The sequence below is a fragment of the Homo sapiens genome, chromosome 7 (assembly GCF_000001405.40).
Source record: "Homo sapiens chromosome 7, GRCh38.p14 Primary Assembly".
Lineage (NCBI taxonomy): Eukaryota > Metazoa > Chordata > Mammalia > Primates > Hominidae > Homo > Homo sapiens.
This window is the reverse complement of record NC_000007.14, coordinates 1,937,009-1,959,713: the sequence shown is the minus strand read 5'-3', so window position 1 is coordinate 1,959,713 and position 22,705 is coordinate 1,937,009. Positions and strand designations below refer to the sequence as shown.

The following is a 22,705-nucleotide window of genomic DNA, read 5'->3' as shown; positions in this document are numbered from 1 at the left end:
TTCTGTTTTGGGAGATGTTTTCACCGTTAAGGTGGCGGTTTTTATTTCTTTCGTTATTTCAGAAATTTCTCCCTCCTCTTTTCTCCGTTGCACTGTTTCTCATGAGAACCCCGCCTTGTGCCTCTGTAGGTACCACCTCTGCCTTTAAGATGGTTTTCCGTGCCGTGGTCCTGAGCAGGCTTGTCCTGATGTGCTCTGGGGCTGCCAGCGTCTTCTTTCCTGGGCCTGTGTTCCTTGCGCTGCCTCGTGTCTGTTGAGCTTTCTACATCTGTGGCTTTATCCTTTCCATTGAAAGTGGAACTTTCTTATAGTATTTGTCCCGTCGCTTCCTCTGCCTTCTTTCTTTTGGGGACTCTCGTTCATGAATTTTATGCCTCATGAAGCTGTCCCACAGCTCAGTGATTCTCTTTTCATTTTTCAGGAATCTTTTCCTCTCTGTGTTTGTTTGCTTATTTATTTGTTTTTGAGACAGGGCCTCGCTCTGTCAGTGCTGGAGTGCACTGGGGTGATCTTGGCTCACTGCAGCCTCCACCCCCTGGGTTCAAGCGATTCTTATGCCTCAGCCTCCTGAGGAGCTGGGACTACAGGGGTGTACCACGACGCCCGGCTAATTTTTTTATTTTTAGTAGAGAAGGGGTTACGCCATGTTGGCCAGGCTGGTTTTGAACTCCTGGCCTCAAGCGATCCAGCTGCCTTGGCCTCCCAAAGTGCTGGGATTACAGGCGTGAGCCACCGTGCCTGGCCTCTGTGTTTTGTTTTTGATAGTTTCTATTGCTGTGCCCTCGAGGACATTAAACTTTTCTCTTACGGATTCTAATCTGTCATTAATCCCATCCAGCATGTTTATCTGACAGGTAGTTTCCACTTCTACCTGTGTCTCTTCCGAGTCTGAACTGTTGCATTTTTCCAGTAGTTTTAACAACTGTCTAAATGTCCCTGTTTGCCAGTGTTGCCGTCTGTGCAATGCTGCGTCTTGGTAGGTATTCGTTGTTTGGTTAATCTCTTCATTATAGGCCGTGTCTTCCTGCTGCTTTAAATGTCTGGTAATCTTTGACTGGATGGCAGGCATTGTGAATTTTAGCTTGTTGTGTTCTAGATGTTTTTGCATTTGTATCAATCTTCTTGATCTTTTTTCAGAGATGCAGTTAGGTTTCTTGGAAAGAGTTGGGTTTCCTCGGGTCTTGCTGTTGTGGTGTGCTGGGACGCCCTGGAGCAGTTCTCAGGCTGGAATAGCTGTCCCTGCTCCTGTCCCTGTGCGGTGTCGAGTAATCTTTCCATCACTACAGGCCTTGACAGACTTTTTTTATTTTTAAACCACATGAATATGTTTTCCATTCAAAATATTAGATCTAGAAATGAAGACAAAACTAGACAGCTTTTTACAGTGAACTAAAACTGGCCCCATTCCGGTTGCGGCCATGGAGGTTTGTTTTGTATTCTATTCCCACTGTGGAGAAGGGAACTCACCATGGGTCGCCTGGAAGCGTGCTTTTGTTTCTCATCTGAATTGTGCCTCTGTGGTCCCCTGTCATCAGCTTCTTCCACACCCCGCAGTAGAAGTCCTTTCCTGTCTTTTCCTCATTTCTGAAGATGTCCCGAGGTTGCTTTCCTGTCCCTCAGTGTCCCCTGCACTCCGCCATCACATCACCCTCTGGGAGTGGCTGACGGACACGGACACACTGACTCCCAGGCGTCCTGCCTCGGGCTGGTTCCCTCTGTGCTTCCAGCCAAGGTGTGGTCGACAGAGACTTTCTCCGCACAGGCTCCTCCAGCTGAGCAGGGGCCGCCACGGACTCCCCCATCCTGTACTTGTGTCGTTTTCCAATTTTCTCTTGATGTTATCGCTGGACTCTGAGAGCTTCACAGATATGTATTTAGAAATAAAGCTGTATAGCTGGGTCTCCTAACCTTTCACCTCCTTATCACCCAGAGGGTGGGACTTCCCCAGCATGGCTGGCCTCGGACACCTGGTCACCGTCTTGCTGTCCTTGCAGGTTGAAGGTCGAGGAGCTGGAAGGCGAGCGGAGTCGGCTGGAGGAGGAAAAGAGGATGCTGGAGGCACAGCTGGAGCGGCGAGCTCTGCAGGTGAGGGCGGGGCAGCCTCTGGGTGAGGCACTGCCTGGGCCTCTCATTTCTTTGGGCGTCGTGAACGACCGTGGTTCCTGCTGCCACAGAACACCCGTTTTCTGGCTCGTCTGTCTGAACTCTCCTCCCTCCCATGTGCACCCCCTTGCCTGGCAGGGAGGCCATGCCGCTGACAGGCCTGCACTGGCTGCCTCTGGAGTCCTCTGCGGCCCGCACCACCCACACGCCTGGTGTCGGTGGAGTGGGCTCTGGGCAGATTTGCACTATGCCCACCCGGGATCTGCTGTGGCGAGGCTGGACTGCTGTTTGTGTTCTTTTAATTGTACTTTCTCTTTGGTTTTCATCCTCCTGAGTTGCTGCATGGCAGGAAGCCCTCAGGTTCGAGGTTACCGGGTTTTTGGACAGGCCATTGATTTTATCTTGGCACCTGTTAGAGGCAGATCAAATCTATTTTTTATGACCAGTTTCTGACGATGGGAGGAGTGACATCTGTGGTGATGGGCGGCTCCGAGCCGCGCTGGCCTGTCCTCAGCCTAGGACCTGTCATCTTGTTTTAACTGGGCCGTGGTGTACAGGGAGCGGTCACGGGGCTGCTGCCCGCCCACCAGAGGCTCTGCGTCAGAGCTGCTGAACGTCTTTCTGGGTGTTGGGCTGAGCAGAGCCTGAACCCTGCTCCTTGGTGCCCACGTTGCTTGCTGACTGGGGGCCAGGCATCCCTGCAGGCACCACTTACGGCTTCCCTGCTCCAGCTTCCAGCCCTTTCCCCAAGGTGTCCTCAGTGGCCGGCCCTTGGAGCTTGTTGAGGCTTGAATGAGGTGAGGGGTGTGGGTGAGTGCGGTGCCAGCACTGGTGAACACCTGATGGGGCCTGGCCACCATCCCTGTTCTGCGCAGACGGCGTGTGCTCGGGAGCTCACTAGCGGAGCACTCCTCTGTGGGAGATGCCAAGGGCTGTCAGGTACCGTGGGGTTGGCATGAGGAGTGGCTGGCAGTGTCACCTGTGACCCTCTCCTGAGCTCTGCCAGGGCCTTGGAGGGGTGGGGGCTCTGCCCCTAGGCATGTCCTGAAGCTGCTCAGAGCTGAGGCGTGGTGCTGCAGTGTGGCCAGTGTGGCCATTTGGGGAGAGGACAGGGCTGGGCCTGGTGGTCCTGGGGAAGCAGATGTTTATGCCGTGATATGGTGACCTCGAGCCTAGCCCAGGATTCAGGAGCTGTTCCTCCCTGGGTCAGGGCAACAGGGACAACTGTGCCCGGATGGCGTGGGAGAAGCAAGTGCAGAGCAGTGAAGCGGGGAGGCCACTGGGGTTCGGCCTGTGGAGTGTTGGAAACTTCCAGACAGCCCTCCAGCTGCCACCACTTCTGACACCCCCTGCGATTACACCCTTAGTGGGGGGACGTCCAGGGTGGCCCTGGGGAAGGTGAGGCCTCACAGGCCCTGTGGTGGCTCAGGCTGCCCCTGGCTCTGGATGCCCAGGGCTGTGCCATTGAAGGAAATACTGTAAATAGGGGTCCATTTCCAAGATAAAGTGCCTTGAACCGGCTTAGGTCACCAAACTACAGAAGAAACAGGATATACTAGGCCCCTGCTTGGATCACCAATGCCTGCTTGTCGGCCTCCCGCTCCCCCCTGCCACCCCACCCCCCCACCCACCTTACTTGCCCTCATCCAAACCAAAGAAGTTTAGTCTAAGATGGAAGTTATACTACTCTGCAAAATAGTTCGTTTCATCTGTTCTTATCAGCCTGCCCAGCTACTTAGGTCACAAGTCAAATAACTGAAGAGCCCCTGAGCTGACGAGGATTGCAGTGCATTGTGGGCTGCAACAAAATGCAACAGGACAACCCTAAAAACACACCTATAGCCCCTGCCCAACAACCAGTAGGCAACATCCAGGAAGACTGTGACCCCAGAGTACTCAGCCTGTGAGGAACCGGGGGAGGGGCCTGCGCACTAGGGGATAAATGGCTTGTTGTCACCGTGCTGGGTGTGCCTGCCCACCAGACACCTAATCTTGCAAGACCATTGAAAATCTCTCTTTTGGCTGGGCATGGTGGCTCACGCCTGTAATCCCAGTACTTTGGGAGGCTGAGGCGGGTGGATTGCCTGAGGTCAGGAGCTCAAGGCCAGCCTGGCCAACATGGTGAAACCCTGCCTCTACTAAAAATACAAAAATTCGCTGGGCATGGTGGTGGGCACCTGTAGTCTCAGCTACTCAGGAGGCTGAGGCAGGAGAATCGCTTGAACCCAGGAGGCAGAGATTGCAGTGAGCCGAGATCACGCCACTGCACTCCAGCCTGGGTGACAGAGCGAGGCCCCAGGAGCCGGCTGCCGCCCCTGCACCCACTATGCGATGCCCTCTCCTCTCCCTGCTCCCGCTCCCTCTGGAGAAGCCTTCAAGTTGGGCCGCTTCAAGGAAGATTGATTAAAATCAGCTGCAGTCTGACTTAATTGGGAACATATGCTTGGAGAGGGGCTTGACTAGTTAGAACTTTTTGTAATTAGTTCACAGCTGGTTGGCGAGGAAAGAGAATTTCAGTTACCCCTTAGAGCTGGGCGCGAGTGCCGCTGCCCTCCCGCGGTGCTGAGGCCAGGAGACCAGGCCTGGGAGGTCTTCGTGCTGCCTTCCTGGGAGGGCCGTCACTGGGCCCTGCTGTGGCACTGGCCTTTCTGGGTCTCCCTAAGAGCCCAGAGCTGTCCACACACTCATTAGGGCCGACTGGGTGCACCCTTGTGTCGCTGAAGGGGCTGGAAGTGGGTGGGCGGGGCTCCTGGACTGCAAGCCCTCCCATCCCGTGGTGGGGGTGGGAGAGCTCGGGGCACCCACGGACGGTGGCTGGCCGGGCTTCTGGCGCCCCCTCTCTAGATGGGGAAAGTGAGGCCCACAGGGAGCCTGCGTGTGAAGGAGGAAGGAGCTCAGACTCTCCATGTTAGGAGGCAGAATGAGTCTTGAACGTGTTGCAGTGTTCTGAAGTGAAGACAGAAATCGGGCGGACCCCGTGGAACTCCAGATCTGGCGGCAGAGGGACCCCCATGGCTATTGGTGCAGCCGCAGGAGTCAGGTCAGGTGGGCGGCACAGTCCCTGACCCCACCTGCAGCCACGGCCTCCTGCCCCACCCCTGTCCCCACCTCCTGAGTGTGCCCTGTGCTCTTCCCCAGGCCTAGAACTGAGGAGCTGGGGCCCCAGCGCTTTGTTCTCTTCTGGCTCCCGGCTGCCCTCTGATGCGCCACCTCATAGCTGGGACACTGGGCCTTGTCAGCTTGGACCCCACAGCCTGGGGTGGGCCACAGCTCTGTCTCCCACTGGCTGCAGCCTGGCCTTAGTGTGCTCCCAAGGATGTGGAGGGCACGGGCCTTTCCCGCAGGCTGTCTTTGGAGATCTCCGGTGATGGCTCCTGGGGGGCCCTGCACATACCTGGTGAACCAGGCCTGCATGGTGGCCATTCCTGTTGTCTGTCATAATACCGTCGTCCTTACCTCCAAGACACTTGGACGTTTTCCACGTCTGTGGTTCTGATGGGCCACATGCGGGGATGGAGGGCACCGAGCTGGGGCAGGACCCACAGTGAGGCTGGTCGGGGCTCACAGGCTACGGGGCAGGACACACAGTGAGGCTAGTCGGGGCTCACAGGCCGCCCTGGGTAGAGAGGGGCACGTCCAGTGGAGGCCGCACTGGGCAGGACACTGACCTTCTGGCTGGGCGGGCGCATCCCCACCTGACAGTCCCACCCAGGAGCCTCCAGCTTGTGTGTGTGAAGTGTGCAGCCTGGGCCGGCACCTGTGCCCCGTGGGGCCCCCGTGTCACCCAGCAGTGATGGGAGCAGCATTCAGACTCAACCCTGTTGGGTTTTTTCAGCATTTGATGATGAACATTTAAAGATACGTTGTGAAGTTGAGGGAAGTTTGCAGCGAGCGCCTGGTCACCCGCCACCAAGGCTCCACCACGGATGTTCCGCCGCGGGGCTTCCTGACATCTCTTTATCCCTCGCCCAGCCGCCGCGCCACTTTATTCTTCTGACGCGCTTTAAGTAAATTGCAGACATCTGCACGCTTCCTCTAAATGCCTCAGTGTGCGTGTAATTAAGTAGAATTCATCTTTGGGTTCTGAAGCCCGTGCTCCAGCCGTTCCTCGATGTGGCCTCATCATGGTGCTTGTTTGGGCAGGTTGGTGGTCAGGGCTGGTGGAGCCCCCCAGTGCGGCTCCCTCCCCGCCCCACCTGCCTGCTCCTCCCTGGCGGGGGCCTGGGTGGGGTTTGTGGCCGGGGCCAACCTCAATGTCCCAAGTGCTGTTCAGGAAAGAGACCAGACAAGAGCCCTGTGACGTTTAAATAAGTGCATCTGTTTTGGGAAGGAGTGGGTAGAAGATTGCCGGGTTCCCTGTGAGCAGAAGCTGGAAGCACACGGAGACCGTTCTGCTCCCGTCTGCACCAGCAGGCAGGTGGTGCGGTACCTCACATCCCTGGTCCGTGTCCCTGGGACCAGGGTGGGGCGGGCCCGTCACCTCTCCTCAGACCTCCTCACCCCCTCCCTGAGATGCCATCCCTGTGGCCCCCAGATCCCTGGAATTCTGAAGCCACCAACGCTGCAGCTGCCCTGGGAGAGGGCCGCGTTCCCTCCTGGAGCCACAGCTGCCCCCTTTGTGCTGGCGTCCATGCCCAGGTGTGGTGGGCTGGGGTCGTGTCCCTGTACCGGGGCCTCCCGGCGGGTGCTCTGAGCCAACCTCCTCAGGTCTGGCCTCTCCCGCTCGCTGGACTCTTAGTAACGCATGTGGCTCATCAGTGGGACCTTCATTCTGTGTTCGGCTCTTTCTCCTGAACCTTCTACCATGTTGGACAGAGTGTGGCCTCTGGACCGGGACGATGGGCCTGGTGTTACCTGGTGGCCTCGGGAAGTGCTCCTCTCTGTGCCCTGAGGGCCTCCTTTGTGAGGCAAGGGGGTTGGACTTTTCCTGGGAGGCAGGATCACGGGAGGGCAGCTCTGCAGGGCCCATGGGACTCCATGCTCACCAGCCCAGCCCTCCCCTCCCATGCGTGAGCCACCTTCACGCACCTCTGTGCCAGGCGCTGCTCTAAGCCAGGGCACAGCGGGGGCCAAGGAGCCACAGCCCGGATGTTCTGGGCCCCTGTTCTGTGGGAGTCATACAGCGAGCTGATGGTTCAGACGGATGAGGTGCTTCCCGTCCGTGAAAGGAAGCAGGTCATTGGCACGGGGCCCCAGGGACCCACGTTAGGTCCTGGCGGGACCAAGGGCTCCTGGTTTCCTCCCGTGGCTCGTGGAAGGACAGGAGAAGCGCCCACTCCGGACCGGGCCGCCGGGGAGGCTGAGTCGGCCGCAGTCCTCGGAGCAGCATCGTGTTTTCTATGATGGTGCTCGTTTTCTTTCCATGAGATCTCACTGCTCCACAGATTCCCGGCAGCCGATGCTGTGTGTGGGAAACCAGGAATGTTCTGCCCACAAGGGCTGAAGGTGCTGGTGAAGTTGGGCGTCTGTTTTAATCGGAGCTTCCTGGCAGCCTAGGGAGAAAGGAAAGTGTGATCACTTAGGTAATTCCTGCCATGGGAGTTTGCAGACTAAGCCTGAGATTCTAGAAGAAATGTCACCGATGGGGGCTTGGCCATGGTGCTGCCACTGATGGAAGAGTGGCTTTGTTTCACCACACTGACCAGCAAGTCCACCGCTGCGTACATGCCCAGAAGAACCAAAAGCAGGGACTCATGGATACGGGCACCCACGTTCACAGCAGCCTCGCTCACGGTAGCCCAGAGGTGAGCGCACCCCAGCGTCTGTGGACAGATGCATGGATGGACACAGTGTGGTCCTTCCATACGGTGGAGCATGATAGATACAGCCTCAAGGAGGAGGCGCGTCCCGACACCTGCCGCAGCATGGATGGACCTGAGGACGCTGAGCTGGGTGAAACCGGCCAGTCCCAGAAGGACACAGGCTATGTGATTCCACCTACACGAGGCCCCTAGAGTCATCAGATCCATAGACAGGAGGTGGAGAGGCCGGTGCCAGGGGCTGGGGCTGGGGCAGGGGAATGGAGAGTGAGTGTTGATGGATGTGGGCTTTAGCCTGGAGAGATGAGGAAGCTCTGGGAATGGGCTGTGGTGGTGGCCGCACAGCACTGAGAGTGTGCTGAATGCCAGGGAGCTGTGCACTTAGAATGGTTATGGCGGTCAGCTTCCTGTCACGTGCGTTTCACCACAGTGAGACCCAGCAGGCAGCTTGTTAGGAGTGAGCCACACCCCGGACGGGAGGGGCAGGGCGCTTGAGGTGACTACTCCAACCCTGCCCTCACACGGCCTCTGTCCTTCGGTCACTCCTGCCTTCCTCAGGCCCTTCATCCACCAGCTGGTCCTGCACCTGCTGCCTGAGCCCCTGAGGCCTCCTGCCAGCTCTGGCTGAGCCTCAGGCAGGATGGTTTAGGCGCTGGCTGTTGTTTGTGCCCTGTAGTGGGGAGACTGGGATAGCAGAGGCTGTCCAGGGCTCCTGCTCATCCGCCAGTCTGGCAGGGACCCAGTTCACTTCCTCGGCAGGCCAGGGGAGCAGCCTCCCGGGTGAAGCCCACGTGTCTGGGAAGGAGGAGGAGGACCTGTGGTTGCAGCGGGACCAGGACAGTGCTGGTCCCCCGCCTCCTCCTCCCAGGAAGCATGGGCTTCGTGCCCAGGGTGGGTGGCCAGTGGGTGCCCTGTGCACTGACCACACTGCCGTGGTGGGAGCTCAGGTAGATGCCTCGTCTGCAGATGGGGCAGGCGATGTGCTGTGAGCTGAACGAGGAGCACGGGTGGCAGAGCCAGGACCCACCGCGGTGCTCACTGGGCTCTGCCCGCTCATCCCCCACTTGCCCACGTGTGCTGCTCCCCCCATGCTGAGCTTTGCCAACGGCCCCACTAGAGCACCCTCCCCCTGTGGGCCTGCAGCTGCTCACAGAGGCAGCAGAGGGTGGCGAAGGGCCTGGGTGCAGGGGAGGAGGTGAGAGCTGCAGCTGGGGGCAGACATTGAGGGGCTCCCGTGTGGGGTCGACTGGCGCTCAGAGCCAGGCCTCAGCCCAAGTCACTGTTGTCCAACCCTTCTGACGATTGGGGTTTTTATCTTCTCCCTCCAAATTGTTTACAAGTCGCCCTCCGCAGATTACCTTCTGAAGGACTCGGGTGGAAGTCAGCGGGTGATTACCAGCACCGGGTAATTGGCTGTGCTGAGAGTCCTTCATCTGCTGATGAGGCCTGAGGTCAGGGGAGCTTTCATGAGGGCTTGCGGGCCTCGAGGTGGCGCGGGACGTGCAGGAGGGCGGCAGAGCCACTGGACGGACGGACAGACGGATGGTGTGAGTGTGCCCGAGTTCTCACTTCCCTATCACATGGTGACCATTCTCGCCGCTGGGTGACATGAGACTGAGGTCAGGGTGCTGGGGACTGGCCCAGAGTCACACAGTTGTGGCTGGTGGAACTGGGACCCAGCTCGGGCTCTGCCAGACCCCTGCGTCTGCTGCCTGGGCAGGCATGGGCATGCACGCCTGGCCCACGAGCCCTTGTCCTTTGTCTAGAGATCGTCTAGTAGTCTCTGCTGTCCCCTCAAGTAGAGATGTGCCCAGGGACCCACTGCTGAGCACCTCGATCTCCCCCAGCCTGTCCCTGCTGCTGCCACTTGGACTGAAGCCATGTCTTGCACTTGGGGTAGAAAACCAAACTCAAAGGCGGGACCTGGGGGGTCCGGGCTCCTCAAAGCTGATATCCCTGAGCATGTCTGCAGCCTCTTGGAGGCCCGGGGCCTCCTCTGGGAAGCAAGGGCCGTGGCCCTGTCTGCAAGTGCCCCGCACGGGGTGCCAGTCCCCGCGGCTCTTGGACATGGCACGATGGAGGTCTCCCCAAGCAGCCGCTGCTGCAGGCACTGCGTCCAAGGGACCGATGTCCTTTGGTTCCTGGGCGTATCTGCAGAGAAACGGATGAGAGCAGCTTTTTAGAGGAGAAGGGAAGCACAGGGCCCTGCCGGTGCCTGTGGGGTTTCAGGGGAGGTGGAAAGTGGCTGCGGCTCTCCTGGGGGCCAGGAAGAGGCCCCTCCCCGCCGCCTCCACTTGGCAGGACTCTGGGGAAGGGGAAGCACTTTGCTTCTCTCATGAGGAACTGGGTTTGGACCTGGAGCCTGCCCATGGCCTGGTTTGCCAGATGCCCCTCGGTTCTCAAGGACGTCTTGAGTCCTCAGACAGGGATGGAGTTCAAGAGGGACTCAGAGCCGGGCGCATGTGGCAGAGGGAGGAGATCCACGTCTTTGGTTTCACTGCGCGGGTCCCCCCGGGCGATGCTTGCGTGCCCGGCAGAGCTCCTTAGAGCCTGAGACCATGTGCACGTCCGTTAACCCGCCCGACCTTTCCATGGACTTGGTAGGTCACCATAGCCACCACTCTACAGACAGCAGATCGAGGCTCAGAGAGCAAGCTAGTGCGTGTGCACACACTCTGGACCGCAGAGTGTCAGCTCTAGGGGCCGTGCCCCGGGCCCCTCCTAGGAGAGCCACCCTGGAGCCTCAAGGAGCAGGGCCCGGGCAGCGTTGCCCCAGCTGGGCTTTTCCTTTGCTGACAGGTCCAGGGAAGCCCCACATGGCGTCCTGGGGCAGCAGCTGTGTGTCCTTCCTCCTGGATCCTGTGTGTGTGTCGGGCCCAGCCCCTCCTGTGTTGTACGAGTGTCTGGCCTGGGTCTCCCTCCAGAGCTATGCATCTCGTCTCTGTTCAGGGACTGCTCCAGGCAGGTGGGGCAGATGTCAGCCTTGCTGGGTGCCATCAGGACCATCTCCTCCTCACCACAGGCACAGCCCCTGGAGCCCAGGAGTTCAGCCCAGGGTGATCTGGTCTCAGCCTTGGCCAGATTAGGAAGGGGATGCTGTCCCCGCCCCGCTGACCAGTGGAGACTCTCACATGCCGTCTTCCCTGGCCACGGCAGGCCGCCCGCCCTTTCTCTGCTATGGAACCACAGAGGCTGTTATCAGGGGTGTCATGGGAGGAGCCCCTGACCCTTGCTGGAACCAGGACAGGCATGACCCCTCCCAGCTCCCTCCTCCCCTGGCCTTTCACGTGGAGCTGCCCAGCAGGGTCTCAGGCCGGGAAGGCCAGCTCCGGAGCTGTGCGGTGGCCTCAGCGCCGTCTCCTGGGTGCCAGTGTCCCGGCTCCACTGGTTTGGCAGACGTGCTGGCTCACAGGGCGTGTCCTGCTGGGGAAAGCTGCGGCCCCTCCCTCAGGCCCTGGTGAACCCTCGCTTAGCCTCTGGGCAGGGCCCTGAGCGGAGGCTATACAGCACACGGTCACTGGGGGGTGGAGGGGGTTCATGGGGGGCGTTTGCTGGGGCCCATGGCGCAGGTGGGTGGGCTCACTCGCAGGCTGGCTTTGCCGTGGACGCCTTGGCTGTGGGGAGTTTCCACTTCTGGTGAAGCCTGGCCATGGTGCGTGTGCTGGAGGGGCCTCCAGGGGCTCCGCCCTGTGACCCCGGGCCACTCCCTCGCCCCCTGCAGGTGCCCCAGATGAGGCCCGGGACACTCACTCCCCATGGTGGAGCACTCAGCTCTGCAGAAAGGGAGCTCTCGGGGTTCTGTCCTACCCCCATCCAGTTCTCATCCTCCCACCGCTCCCGGGCACTGGTCACGGACAGCAGCATGGCCTCTGTCCCTCCTTGGGCCTCAGTTTCTCTGTCTGCTTCAGGCTGCCCTCTCCCATCCATGTGCCTCTACCTGCTTGGGAGCTGCTTTCCTGGAATAGGTGGGACACGGCCCCGCAGGCCCCTCGGCGACAGGTGTGTATAGGTGCATCCAGCCCTTCAGCCCTCCTGCTGGCCCTGAGTAAGTTGCCCAAGGTCAGGCCGCTGCTGAGGGCAGGGCTGGGAGGTGTGACCCTCGCCTGGGCTTGTTACAGAGGCAGGTTCCACAACCCAGCCGTGTGCGGCAGGCAAGGCCACGGGCAGGAGATGGGAAGGCCAAGCGGGCAAGGCCACGGGCAGGAGATGGGAAGGCCAAGCGGGCAAGGCCACGGGCAGGAGATGGGAAGGCCAAGCAGGCAAGGCCACGGGCAGGAGATGGGAAGGCCGGGCCTCTGCCTGTGCCTCTTGGTGGGCCTGGTTCTGCAATGCCCTGGCCCAACAGGCACAGCCCGAGCTGCCTCGCTCTCCTCCGTGAGCCATTTCCTTCAGCCAGGAGAGGTATTGATTGAATTTTGACGCCGGACGATCTATAAATATGCATAAGGACTGGTGGTTATTTAACTGTGTTTTCCATTCCCCTCTTGTCGCTGCTTCCTTCCAGCGCTTTCTCTGCTCTCGGCATGCGCGTCAGGCACACGGGGACAGGCGCCTCCCTCCCCAAGTATTGCCTGGGCCTTGCTGGAGGCAGCCTCCTCCCCAGCAGGGACCTTGAGGATAGGGCCCCTCAGAAGCCATTTCCTTTGCCCGGGGCAGCCAAGGGCCCATGGCACCCAGCTCCTGCACGCACCAGGGCGTGGGCTCAGGGCTTTCCTGTCCTCTGCTCCGGGTCTTATGAGCATTTTGGCCGGAAGGGAGGTCCTTAAGGTGAAACTCACCACACTCACCCTCACAGATGGGAAGCCGAGGCCCAGAGAGGACGGAGACCTACCAGCGAGTTAGGGGCGGAACTCACAGTGGGAACAGAGATGGAGCCAACGCCAGCCCCCACCCAGCCTCCTCCTCCAGGACTTGGGCTGTAGACAGTCCCCTGAACACAGAGAGAAACGGGCCGTCGAGGCCGAGGCCTCCTGGAGGCACAGGTGTGGGCTTACAAGGCAGCCCGGGAGCACCCGCACCCTCTCTGGGCCTTGTCTCTCCCTGTGCAGACCCCTCCAAGACCGCTTTGTCTGAAGGTGGGGCCCTGTCATCTCCAGAACCCTAGGCCCAGCCTGGAGGGGAGCTTGGACAGACAGTAGGCCTGCAAGTGGCCGGGGACCTGCCCTGCCCGTCCCAGCATTCTCCCGCTGCACCCGCCAGCCGGCTCTTCCGCTTAACCGCGCTGGGTAGCAGCACCAGAGCGCCTGCTCGCTCTGCAAGTGAAAGATTTCTGTTGAGTCAATGATTGCACCATCGCATCAAAGGAAGGCTCCAAACTTTTCCTTTTGAGATTCTCGTCAGCGTCTCAACAGTTTTCTCAGCTGTGAATCAAACAAGGCAACAAATTTTAGCAGAAGATTATAGCCATTTTCCCCTTTCTTCCTGGAAGCTGTCAGCTAACAGCCGATTCCAGCAAGGTTGCTCCATCTCCCATCTGCTTGAGTTGAGTGGTGCCAGCCCCCAACGGTGCTCCTGCTTGCTGGCACACACAGTGCTCAGCGCCCTAGGTGGGTGGGGTGCACGGGGCCGGGGCAGCACTGGAGGGGCTTCTCCCCACGCCTGGAGCCTCACACTGACCCCCTGGGCCTGCAGCTAGAGGTGGGTTCTGTGAGCAGGAGGCGTCCTGCCAGAATGCACAGAGGGCAGGGGTGGCCCTGAGCGGATGGGCAGATGGGGCCTGGGAGGAAGTGATCTTGCCTCCTGGGCTGCAGAGCCCACCCCACATCCGCTGCCTCCTGGCCCCAGTGTACAACCCGCTGGCCCTTCCTCTGGGCTGGGGCTTGGTGTGTCCATTGCCTCCTGGCCCCAGTGCAGAACCCACTGGCCCTTCCTCTGGGCTGGAGGCTTGGTATGTCCATGGTGGGAAGTGCTTGGGTCTTTGCGTAGGAGGATCTTGAGGCTGCACTGGCCTGTGCCTCATCTGGGATGCCCCTGGACCACCTCCTGCCCTGGTGGTCCCTCCCCCACTGCCTCCAGACTTCTCAGGCCACCCTCTGAGTCCCTTGGGGCCCCCAGCCACAGCCACGCCATGCAGAGCCCTAACCCCGGTCTGCGGCCCAGCGCCGCCACCTTACCCGCACCTCTGAGGGGTCGCGTGAGTGCTGCATGACCGTTCTCCTCCAGAAAGCAGCAGAATACATGAAAGAGGGCTCACAGAGCACTGGCCGGGCCCGGCACCCCATGGCGTCTGCAGATGGCCGCTGCCCTCACCCTCCTTCCCTTCATCTCCAGGGTGGGCCCAGCAGCAGCAGCACCTCTCCCACACCCTCTGCTTCTCCTGGGTTGCGGCTGTGACCCAGGAAGTGAGAGTGGGACTCTCCACGACTTGGAGAAGGGTTCCAAGCCCTTTCGTGGGACCTACTTGCTCTTACTTCCTGCGTTACTCTAACCACTCTAGCCACCTGGTTTAAGCCCCAGGAGCACATCCGAGTGTAGTAAGTGTTCATCATCATCATGCATTCATTCAGCAAACACATCTTCCACATGGAGCCTGTGCCGGGATAGTCCTCGGTGCTGGGGCTGTGGTGGTGGACAGGAGTCCCTGTCACCGCGGAGCTGGACTTCTGGCGTGGAGGACGCCTACTGAGATGAGTGTTTAGGCTGATCGGGGTGTCCCGCTGGCAACAGCAGTCACCCTTGGCAGCCGGCCTCTGCTGGGCCCCTGCTGAGCGGGCGCCGAGGCACCGTGCTGCTTCCCTGCTCTGCAGAGAGAGACGGAGGCCTGGCCCTTCGCAGCCCCCATCTAGCGGGAGGGTCTCGGTGTCCACTGTCTCTCCCAGTGGCCGACGGCCCAGGTGAGGGGCTGCCCGTACCCGTCTCCCTCTGCTTCCGGCTCCCTTGGTGGCCACTGCACTGTGCACTTGCAGGGGCTGCCAAGCCACAGAAGCCAGGCCAGCCGGTCCCCTGCCTGTCAGCTGCTGACTCACAGGGGTCTTTGTCCCCATCAGCTGCAGAGGTGGCCTGCAGGCTCCAAGAAGCCACCAAGGCAGGGCCCTGTGGGCACACCCTGACGTCACCTGGTCCTGCAGACTGTGGTCACTGCACTTGGTGTCTGGGCCCAGCTGGCAGGAGTGGGAGAGGGCCGACGGGGTGGGGGGTGATGGTCAGGCCACTGTGCCCTAGAGGCTCTTCCGGCTGTGGAGGAGGAGGGTCTTGGGGGCAGGGATCCCCTTCAGCCTCACATTTCCCAGCCCAAGCAGGATACAAGTAAGGACATTTCCTTACGGAGCCCCAGAGTTTCTCCTTCACCCTGGAGCTCCCTCCAGGCAGCCCCTCTCAGCCCTTGTCCTCCCCGTGGAGAGCTGCTCTTGAAGTTGAAATCGTGGTACATGCAAAGGAAGAGGCTGGTTTCAGCCCCGCAGGCTCTGGCAGCTGCATCCACGCTTCCTGCTGTTTCTCACTCCCCACCCGGCCCGCCATTTCTAACAGCTCTATTGAAATGCGACGCACATTCCACGTACCTCGTCCCTTTGAAGGGGGCAGTTCAGCGACTTTTATGTCCACGGCTAGTGCAACCACCGTCACCCTTCGCAGAACGTTTTGATCCCCTCTCAAGGAAGCCCGAACCCTCTAGTTATCCATCACCCTGCTGTCTCCCGTGCCCTCAAACCCTCAGCCACCAGTCGGCTACTGCGTGCCTCTGTGGGTCTGTCTGTTGTGAGCATTTCCTGGAAAGGGAGTCCCGTGGCCTGTTCTGAGCATTTCCTGGGAGGGAGTCCCGTGGCCCATTACCAGCATTTCCTGGGAAGGGAGTCCTGTGGCCTTTGTGATTGGCTTTTCTCACTTCCCTTGTTCAAGGTTCACCCATGTGGTCATAGGTGTCGGTGGTGTATTCCTTCTTGTGGCTGAAACACCCCACTGTGCACGGCCGCATCTTATATATCCAGTCATCAACTGGTGGACCTTGTGTTCCTTCTTGTGGCTGAAACACCCCACTGTCTGCACGGCCACATCTTACATATCCAGTCATCGCCTGATGGACATCTGGATGGTTTCCGCTTTGGGGCTGTTATGAACACAGCTGCCCTGAACATTCACGGACGAGTCTGTGTAGATGTGTGTGCAGTTCTCTCGGGGGTCTGCCTGGGACTGGGCCTGCTGGATCACATGGTAACCGTTTCACCATTGGAGGAACTGCCAGACTGTTCTCCAGGGCTGCCGCACACCAGGGTTCCAGTTTATCCCCATCCTCACCAACGTGTTGTTGCGTGACTTCCCAGCCGTCCTGGGGGCGCAAAGTGATACCTGGCTGTGATTTCACTTTCTGTCTCTGGATGCCGGATGATGCCGAGCAGCTTTTCATGTGTCTATTGAACTCATAGAAGTCTGTCTTCAGATGCCTTGCCCATTGTGACACTGGGTCCTCATAGGAGTCTGTCTGCAGACGCCTTGCCTATTGTGACACTGGGTCGTTTGCTGACAGTGCTTCATGTGTTGAGGTGTAAGTTCTTCGGGTATAGATTTGCAGACATTTTCTCCCATTCTGTGGCTTGTTTTTGCCTGTCACTGGCGTCCTTTGAAGCACAAGAGTTCTTAGTTTGGATGAAGTCTGATTACCTGTTATTTTCTTTTGTTCTTTGTGCTTTGGGCTAAGAATTCTTTGTTAAATCCAAGGTTAGGAGGGTTTCCTCCTCTGTTTTCTTCCACAGGTTTTACGGTTGGGCTTTGCGTGGGTCTTGGATCCATTGTTACTTAGTTTTTGTTTATGGTGGGAGGTGGGGCCCAGCTTCATTCTTTGGCATGCGCCAGCCCATTGTCCCAGCAGCATTTGTTGAAAAGACTATTTTTCCCTATCGAAAGGTCTTAACACCTTTCTCAGAATCACTTAACATGAACGTGTGGTTGGTTCCTGGACTCTCCACTGTGTTGTTGGTCTGTACGTCGGTCCTCATGCCCACACCACACCATCCTGATTGCAGTGGCTTTGTAGTAAGTTTTGAAATCAGGAGACTGAGTCTTCCTCCCGTGTTCCCCCTTTGCAAGCCTGTGGTGGCTCTTCTGAGCCCCTGCAGTTCCGTGTGAGTTTCAGAATCAGCTTATCAGTTCTTCAGGGAGGCCGGCTGAGTCCTGGGATTGTACAGAATGTGCAGATCAGCCCTGGGAGTCTCTGGTCCCGACAGCGCCGGGTCTTCTGATCCGAGACATGGGATGTTTCCTAATCACCTAGATCCCGCCTAGTTTCCTCCCATGCTGTTTTGCTGCCTGTGTGTTTGAAATGGCTCCTCTTGGTGGGGTGGGTGCAGGAGTGGTGCTGTTTGTATAGGACATAGGGCCGTCCTCCCATCCCGACACTCGGCTGCCCTGGAGACGGGCCTCAGCACAGGGCTCCCATTACCCCTGCACTTCCAGCACCTGCTGAAATGTGTGGCGCGCGGGCTCCGAGGCATGGAATGGTGTGCCTGACTCTGCGCTGCCCAGGCTGTGGTCACAGCAGCAGGCTGGAAGTTTGGCTGTCGCCCCCAGCCACCTTGGGGCACGGTCCTGTCTCACCTGGAGCAGAGGTCCTGGGCCCCCAGGGGCTCAGGCGTGGCCTCCTTCTGGAGGGGCCGGGAATGTCCCCTCCACTTGCTGAGTGTTGGCCCAGGAGGCTCCTCTGTGGGATGCCAGCTGCTCCCACCATGAGTGGCAGCTCCACCCCTGTATTCACAGCTGTGCTGAGGGCATCCAGGGCCTGGAAATCATGTCAGATGGACAGACAGGTGTGCGGGTGGATGGACTAAGGGAAGAAAGGAAGGATGGCAGGAACGAACGCGTGGAGGTCAAGAGCCTGGCCCAGAATCACGGTGGGGACGTGAGCGGGTGGGTGGTGCCCAGTCTGCCCCTCCCGTGCTGCCTCTAGGGGCTCTGCCTTCTCCAGGCGTTAGGCAGGGAAAGTCCCCTGAACTTACAGAAAGACGACTAGGTGCCTGGAATGTTGCCATCTGCACAGAGCCCTAGCGCCTGTCCTCCCACTTCCCTCGCCCTCCTGGGAGGTGGGTTCTCCACGCCACCAGTTATGGAGCCCAGGCTTGTTCTCAGCCCTGGTCAGCGGTGCCATCGCAGGTCGCTCCAGCCCCAGCCGCAGGTGCCCAGTGAATGCTCTCCGTGACCCAGGGCCTCCTGCTGCAGGTGGAAGCCGGGCCACGGGAACCTGCGCCGACCTTGGCCTCACACTGTGGCTCCGGGAGAGCAGGACCTGGTGGTGCATGCGTAGCGGCTGAGGAGGACAAGCCTGGGGGCTGGTCCCAGCCCGGACACGGTGGCTTTGCACACACCAAGCCTTCGCCCCCAGCGGGGCCAGCAGTGCAGGGCGCTGCACTGTTGGGGGCCAGAGGGTGACAGGATTGGTGTTTAAGAAGAACTTCTCAGTTTTATCTTTTCTCTGTTTTGATTTGGTTTCCTTCATCTCTACTGGCTTGGGCTTTTGGTCCTTAAATCCTCTAATATACAGAATTGTTTCCTGGACCTCAAGCCCCCCATCAGGGGGGAAACCTCATCCCAGGATGATGGGCCGGTCGTGGGGCACCCTGGCTGGGGGCTGGGGGCTGGGGCTGTGCCTCTGGCTCTCGTTCCTGCCCGTGGAACGTTGAACGTTGCCAGGACATCCACCCCGGGGAACTTGACGTCCTCAGGCACTGCTGGGTCCAACGCCAGCGCTGGGCGCACCACCGCTGACCCCCGACCCCTCCTGCAAGTCCCCCTATCTGCTAAGTAGGAGGATGCTGGGGCCAGGCGAGGCCTTGCTGGGCAGCCTCTAGGATGGTCACTACCTCCTCCCACCTGGAGGTCCCTTCAGGAGGTCCGCGGTGTTGAAGCCTGGGGAGGAAGAGGAGGCTGAGGCCTGGGAGAGGAAGAGGAGGGTGAGGCCTGCGGGGGGAGGAAGAGGAGGGTGAGGCCTGGGGGAGGAGGGTCTCACTGCTCTGGGTCAGAGGAGGGCTGAGTACACGCTGTGCGGCCTGGTTCTTGCCAGGGGTCAGCTGACTACAGCCCCGCCTTCTGTGCAGCCCCTCAACTAAGAACCGTTGTACATTTTTGAAGGGTTGAAGAAAATCAAAAGAAGAATATTTTGGGACACACGCGGGTTATCTGAAATTCAGATTCGTGTTTCCGTGCCCGCAGCTCCGTCAGCGGGGCCCATGCTGGCCTTGTGTGCCCTGCGGCTTTCTGGGTGCAGTTGCAGCGCTACGTGGTTAGGACGGGGGCAGGGTGACTGCACAGCCCCGTGACTGGCTGCTCTCCGCAGGAGGCGGCCCCACCCTCTGCCCACATCCTCCCTGGCTCCTCGAGGCTCCGTAGGATGGTGAAGAGGTTGAGATGCTGTCCAGCCCACAGAGGCCCCGGAAAGCCAGTGCCGCCCGTCAGAGGGGTCTCCTGAGTGCGTGTGGGTGGCTGGATTCTGCATACTGGGTTATCTTAACCCCGGCTGTGAAAACTGGATGAAGTAGCAATCCTTTCAACCCCAAGAGTCTGTGATTCAGCCAGAGTTACAAGATGTCTCTTCATCCTCTGAGGTTTACAAGGTTCTCAGAAAACCTGTGAAGAGCTGCGCGGATCCTCTCCTGCCCCGGCCCAGCGGCAGGGCTGCCGCCTCCCTCTCCCCTGGGCCTGAGTGGGTGGATTTCCCCTCCCCTCCTCCTTCCCAGGAGAAGCACAGAGGGAGCGGCCAAGCGAGCCGTGTCTGCAAACCCCGCTTCCCTCTGCGGCGGCCTCTGCCATCGTGCCATGGGGCCGGAGGTCCCTGGTCCAGGTCAGCATGTCCATCTCCACTGGCCTCTTCCATGAGGGGGGTGGCAGGGCCAGCAGTTAGCTTGTGTGACGTGACGTCAGGGGGATGTCTTAGAGTCCGGGGTGGCACCAGGAGGGGTGAGGTCTCTTCCCTTCTTCCCCATCCTCTCCTCTCTCCCTGTTGGAGGCACATTCTGGGCTCTGGGACCACGATTGCCCATGGCTGATGAGCTCCAGCCCAAGTGAGGTCCCCAGGGTACAGCCCAAGCCAGGCCTCGCCGTCCTTCGGGGACTTGGAGAGCAGTGGCCCACAGCAGCCTGAGCTCTTGGGAGGCTGGAGGCTTACTGCGCCCGGTCTCTTCACCCCGTGGGGTGTGTCCACACCGGCCTCTCCTGAGAGCGTGGGGTGATCTGAACACAGGATGTGTTTCCCTGTTCCCCTCTGGGAGATAGGAGAGTGCGTGGGCAGAAGCCCCAAGGGTGGCAGGAACTCATTGCCAAAGGGGAGGAGGCCATTGCTATGCGTGGTGCTGGCCTGGCTTGCTGGGTCATGTCTGTGCCTGACATGACCCATGTCATGACCATGGTCATGTCTGTGCCTGACATGACCCATGTCATGACCATGGTCATGTCTGTGCCTGAGGGACCGGGTGCCCATCCAGTCTCACTGCCCCACAGCTCACAGCCACAAGCTGCAGAATCTCAGCACTTGGCGGGAGCCCTGGCCCGTGTGTGTGCGTGTGTGTGCGCCGCTGGCTCCAGCCCTGGCCTGTGTGTGTGTGTATGTGTGTGTGTATGTGTGTGCGTGCACCGCTGGCCCCGGCCCTGGCCCATGTGTGCGCGCGCCTCTGGTCCCGGCCCTGGCCCGTGTGTGTGTGCCTCTGGCCCTGGCCCGTGTGTGTGTGTGTGTGTGTGAGCGCCTCTGGTCCTGGCCCTGGCCCGTATGTGTGTGTGCGCCTCTGGTCCCGGCCCTGGCCCGTGTGTGTGTGCGCGCCTCTGGCCCTGGCCCGTGTGTGTGTGCGCGCCTCTGGTCCCGGCTCTGGCCCGTGTGTGTGTGTGTGTGCCTCTGGCCCCAGCCCTGGCCCATGTGTGTGTGTGTGTGTGTGTGTGCGTGTGTGTGCGCCTCTGGTCCCGGCCCTGGCCCGTGTGTGTGCGCCTCTGGTCCCGGTCCTGGCCTGTATGTGTGTGTGTGTGTGTGTGTGTGTGCGCGCCTCTGGCCCCGGCCCTGGACTGTGTCCGTGTGTGTGTGTGTGTGTGTGTGTGTGTGTGCCTCTGGCCCCGGCCCTGGCCCGTGTGTGTGTGTGCGCCTCTGGTCCCAGTCCTGGTCTCTGTGTGCGTGCGTGTGTGTGTGTGTGTGTGTGTGCGTGCGCGCCTCTGGCCCCAGCCCTGGCCCATGTGTGTGCACCTTTTCATATGTTTATCAGCTTTTTGGGTGTCTTTTTGGGAAGTGTCTGCTCACATGTTTTGCAGATTTTTAGAGTGGGTTGTCTGACATGCCCTTGGTTATTTCTGACATGCCCTTGGTTATTTCTGACATGCCCTTGGTTATTTCTGACTTCTTCGTATGTTCTGGATCTGAACCCTTTCTCAGAAATGTGATTTTCAAACAGCACCTCCTGCTCTGTGGGTGCCTTTCCACTGTTTCAGTGGATGAAGTTCTTAATTTCTATAAGGTCAGTTGTACTCTTTTTTTTTTCTTTTACGGCCAGCACTTCCTGAACCCTGTTTGAGTAACCTGTGTCTACTCCCAGGAGACAGAATGTGGTGGAATTGATGTTTGTGTGTGATGTGAGGTCGGGGTCTCAGGTGTGCAGTGACCCTGCACCTCCCTGCCGTGGGCGGCTGTTGTTTGTGTGTGGCGTGAGGTCGGGGTCTCGGGTGCGCAGTAACCCTGCAGCTCCCTGCCGTGGGCGGCTGATGTTTGTGTGTGGCGTGAGGTCGGGGTCTCGGGTGCGCAGTGACCCTGCACCTCCCTGCCGTGGGCGGCTGATGTTTGTGTGTGGCGTGAGGTCGGGGTCTCGGGTGCGCAGTGACCCTGCACCTCCCTGCCGTGGGCGGCTGATGTTTGTGTGTGGCGTGAGGTCGGGGTCTCGGGTGCGCAGTGACCCTGCACCTCCCTGCTGTGGGCGGCTGATGTTTGTGTGTGGCGTGAGGTCGGGGTCTCGGGTGCGCAGTGACCCTGCACCTCCCTGCTGTGGGCGGCTGATGTTTGTGTGTGGCGTGAGGTCGGGGTCTCGGGTGCGCAGTGACCCTGCACCTCCCTGCTGTGGGCGGCTGATGTTTGTGTGTGGCGTGAGGTCGGGGTCTCGGGTGCGCAGTGACCCTGCACCTCCCTGCTGTGGGCGGCTGATGTTTGTGTGTGGCGTGAGGTCGGGGTCTCGGGTGCGCAGTGACCCTGCACCTCCCTGCTGTGGGCGGCTGATGTTTGTGTGTGGCGTGAGGTCGGGGTCTCGGGTGCGCAGTGACCCTGCACCTCCCTGCTGGGGGCGGCTGTCCCCTGCTGTGGGCGGCTGTTCCCTGCTGTGGGCGGCTGTCCCCTGCTGTGGGGGGCTGTCCCTGCTGCAGGGCTGCATGGTGCTTGTTGCTGGGGGTCGGTCACCCACCACAGGTCAGCAGGCTGGGCCTCCAGGCGCACTCCTCCCTCAAGGATGCCACACACATCCCGGCCCTGGGTTTCGTGGGAACATCAGGTTGCGAGGCGCATTCCTGAGCCACCCACGCTGATGCCAGGCTCCCTTGCCTTCCATCTCTGTGTGGTTGACCTTGTTTCTCTTGTGGCACGGGGCACCTTCCAGGCTGGTAGGGAAGAGATGGGAACATGGCCACACGGGCTCCCAGTCTCATCCCAGCCAGGAACCTCAGAGGAGAGGAAGCCTCCCTCCCGGGCACTGAGTGTGGAATTCTGGGAAGCACCGCACTTGGCTGAGCAAAGGCCGCATGTCCCCTCTCACCCTGTTCCTGTGGTTAGGCAGAAGGGACCCAGCAGGTGGCCAGGCCTTGTTCCTGCACCTGTCCACAGGGCACAGGGAAGGAGCCACTCCTTCCAGGAGAGATGGCTGCCAGGCAGGCTCAAGAAGACAAAAGAACTGAGCACTGTGCTG

The 22,705-nt window shown here is 59.8% G+C and overlaps 1 protein-coding gene across 6 annotated transcripts in view, besides 9 other annotated features; it reads left to right on the top strand.

Moving 5' to 3' along the window:
- MAD1L1 (mitotic arrest deficient 1 like 1) overlaps positions 1–22,705 on the top strand; it is a 417,151-nt gene that overhangs the window by 273,232 nt on the left and 121,214 nt on the right. For 5 of the 6 annotated variants that reach the window (NM_001304524.2, NM_001304523.2, NM_001013837.2 and 2 more), the window contains one exon: positions 1,995–2,085. In NM_001304524.2, coding sequence (NP_001291453.1) covers positions 1,995–2,085 — 91 coding nt within the window. Of the gene's footprint in view, positions 1–1,994; positions 2,086–19,142; positions 19,627–22,705 lie in introns of those variants that run through there. The other variant, NM_001304525.2, reaches the window with a different exon arrangement.
- Positions 1,209–1,889: an enhancer, noted in NCBI's record as "H3K27ac-H3K4me1 hESC enhancer chr7:1997460-1998140 (GRCh37/hg19 assembly coordinates)". NCBI's record gives its function as "activates a minimal SCP1, AML or CMV promoter by ChIP-STARR-seq in primed H9 embryonic stem cells {active_cell/tissue: H9 hESC(primed)}" and the evidence as "EXISTENCE:reporter gene assay evidence [ECO:0000049][PMID:30033119]".
- Positions 4,172–4,896: an enhancer, noted in NCBI's record as "H3K4me1 hESC enhancer chr7:1994453-1995177 (GRCh37/hg19 assembly coordinates)". NCBI's record gives its function as "activates a minimal SCP1, AML or CMV promoter by ChIP-STARR-seq in naive H9 embryonic stem cells {active_cell/tissue: H9 hESC(naive)}" and the evidence as "EXISTENCE:reporter gene assay evidence [ECO:0000049][PMID:30033119]".
- Positions 12,248–13,062: an enhancer, noted in NCBI's record as "H3K4me1 hESC enhancer chr7:1986287-1987101 (GRCh37/hg19 assembly coordinates)". NCBI's record gives its function as "activates a minimal SCP1, AML or CMV promoter by ChIP-STARR-seq in primed H9 embryonic stem cells {active_cell/tissue: H9 hESC(primed)}" and the evidence as "EXISTENCE:reporter gene assay evidence [ECO:0000049][PMID:30033119]".
- Positions 13,063–13,878: an enhancer, noted in NCBI's record as "H3K4me1 hESC enhancer chr7:1985471-1986286 (GRCh37/hg19 assembly coordinates)". NCBI's record gives its function as "activates a minimal SCP1, AML or CMV promoter by ChIP-STARR-seq in naive and primed H9 embryonic stem cells {active_cell/tissue: H9 hESC(naive and primed)}" and the evidence as "EXISTENCE:reporter gene assay evidence [ECO:0000049][PMID:30033119]".
- Positions 18,946–19,045: an enhancer, noted in NCBI's record as "active region_25503". NCBI's record gives its function as "activates an Ori minimal core promoter by ATAC-STARR-seq in GM12878 lymphoblastoid cells {active_cell/tissue: GM12878}" and the evidence as "EXISTENCE:reporter gene assay evidence [ECO:0000049][PMID:35858748]".
- Positions 19,066–19,115: an enhancer, noted in NCBI's record as "active region_25502". NCBI's record gives its function as "activates an Ori minimal core promoter by ATAC-STARR-seq in GM12878 lymphoblastoid cells {active_cell/tissue: GM12878}" and the evidence as "EXISTENCE:reporter gene assay evidence [ECO:0000049][PMID:35858748]".
- Positions 19,164–19,749: an enhancer, noted in NCBI's record as "H3K4me1 hESC enhancer chr7:1979601-1980186 (GRCh37/hg19 assembly coordinates)". NCBI's record gives its function as "activates a minimal SCP1, AML or CMV promoter by ChIP-STARR-seq in naive H9 embryonic stem cells {active_cell/tissue: H9 hESC(naive)}" and the evidence as "EXISTENCE:reporter gene assay evidence [ECO:0000049][PMID:30033119]".
- Positions 19,236–19,325: an enhancer, noted in NCBI's record as "active region_25501". NCBI's record gives its function as "activates an Ori minimal core promoter by ATAC-STARR-seq in GM12878 lymphoblastoid cells {active_cell/tissue: GM12878}" and the evidence as "EXISTENCE:reporter gene assay evidence [ECO:0000049][PMID:35858748]".
- Positions 19,746–19,795: an enhancer, noted in NCBI's record as "active region_25500". NCBI's record gives its function as "activates an Ori minimal core promoter by ATAC-STARR-seq in GM12878 lymphoblastoid cells {active_cell/tissue: GM12878}" and the evidence as "EXISTENCE:reporter gene assay evidence [ECO:0000049][PMID:35858748]".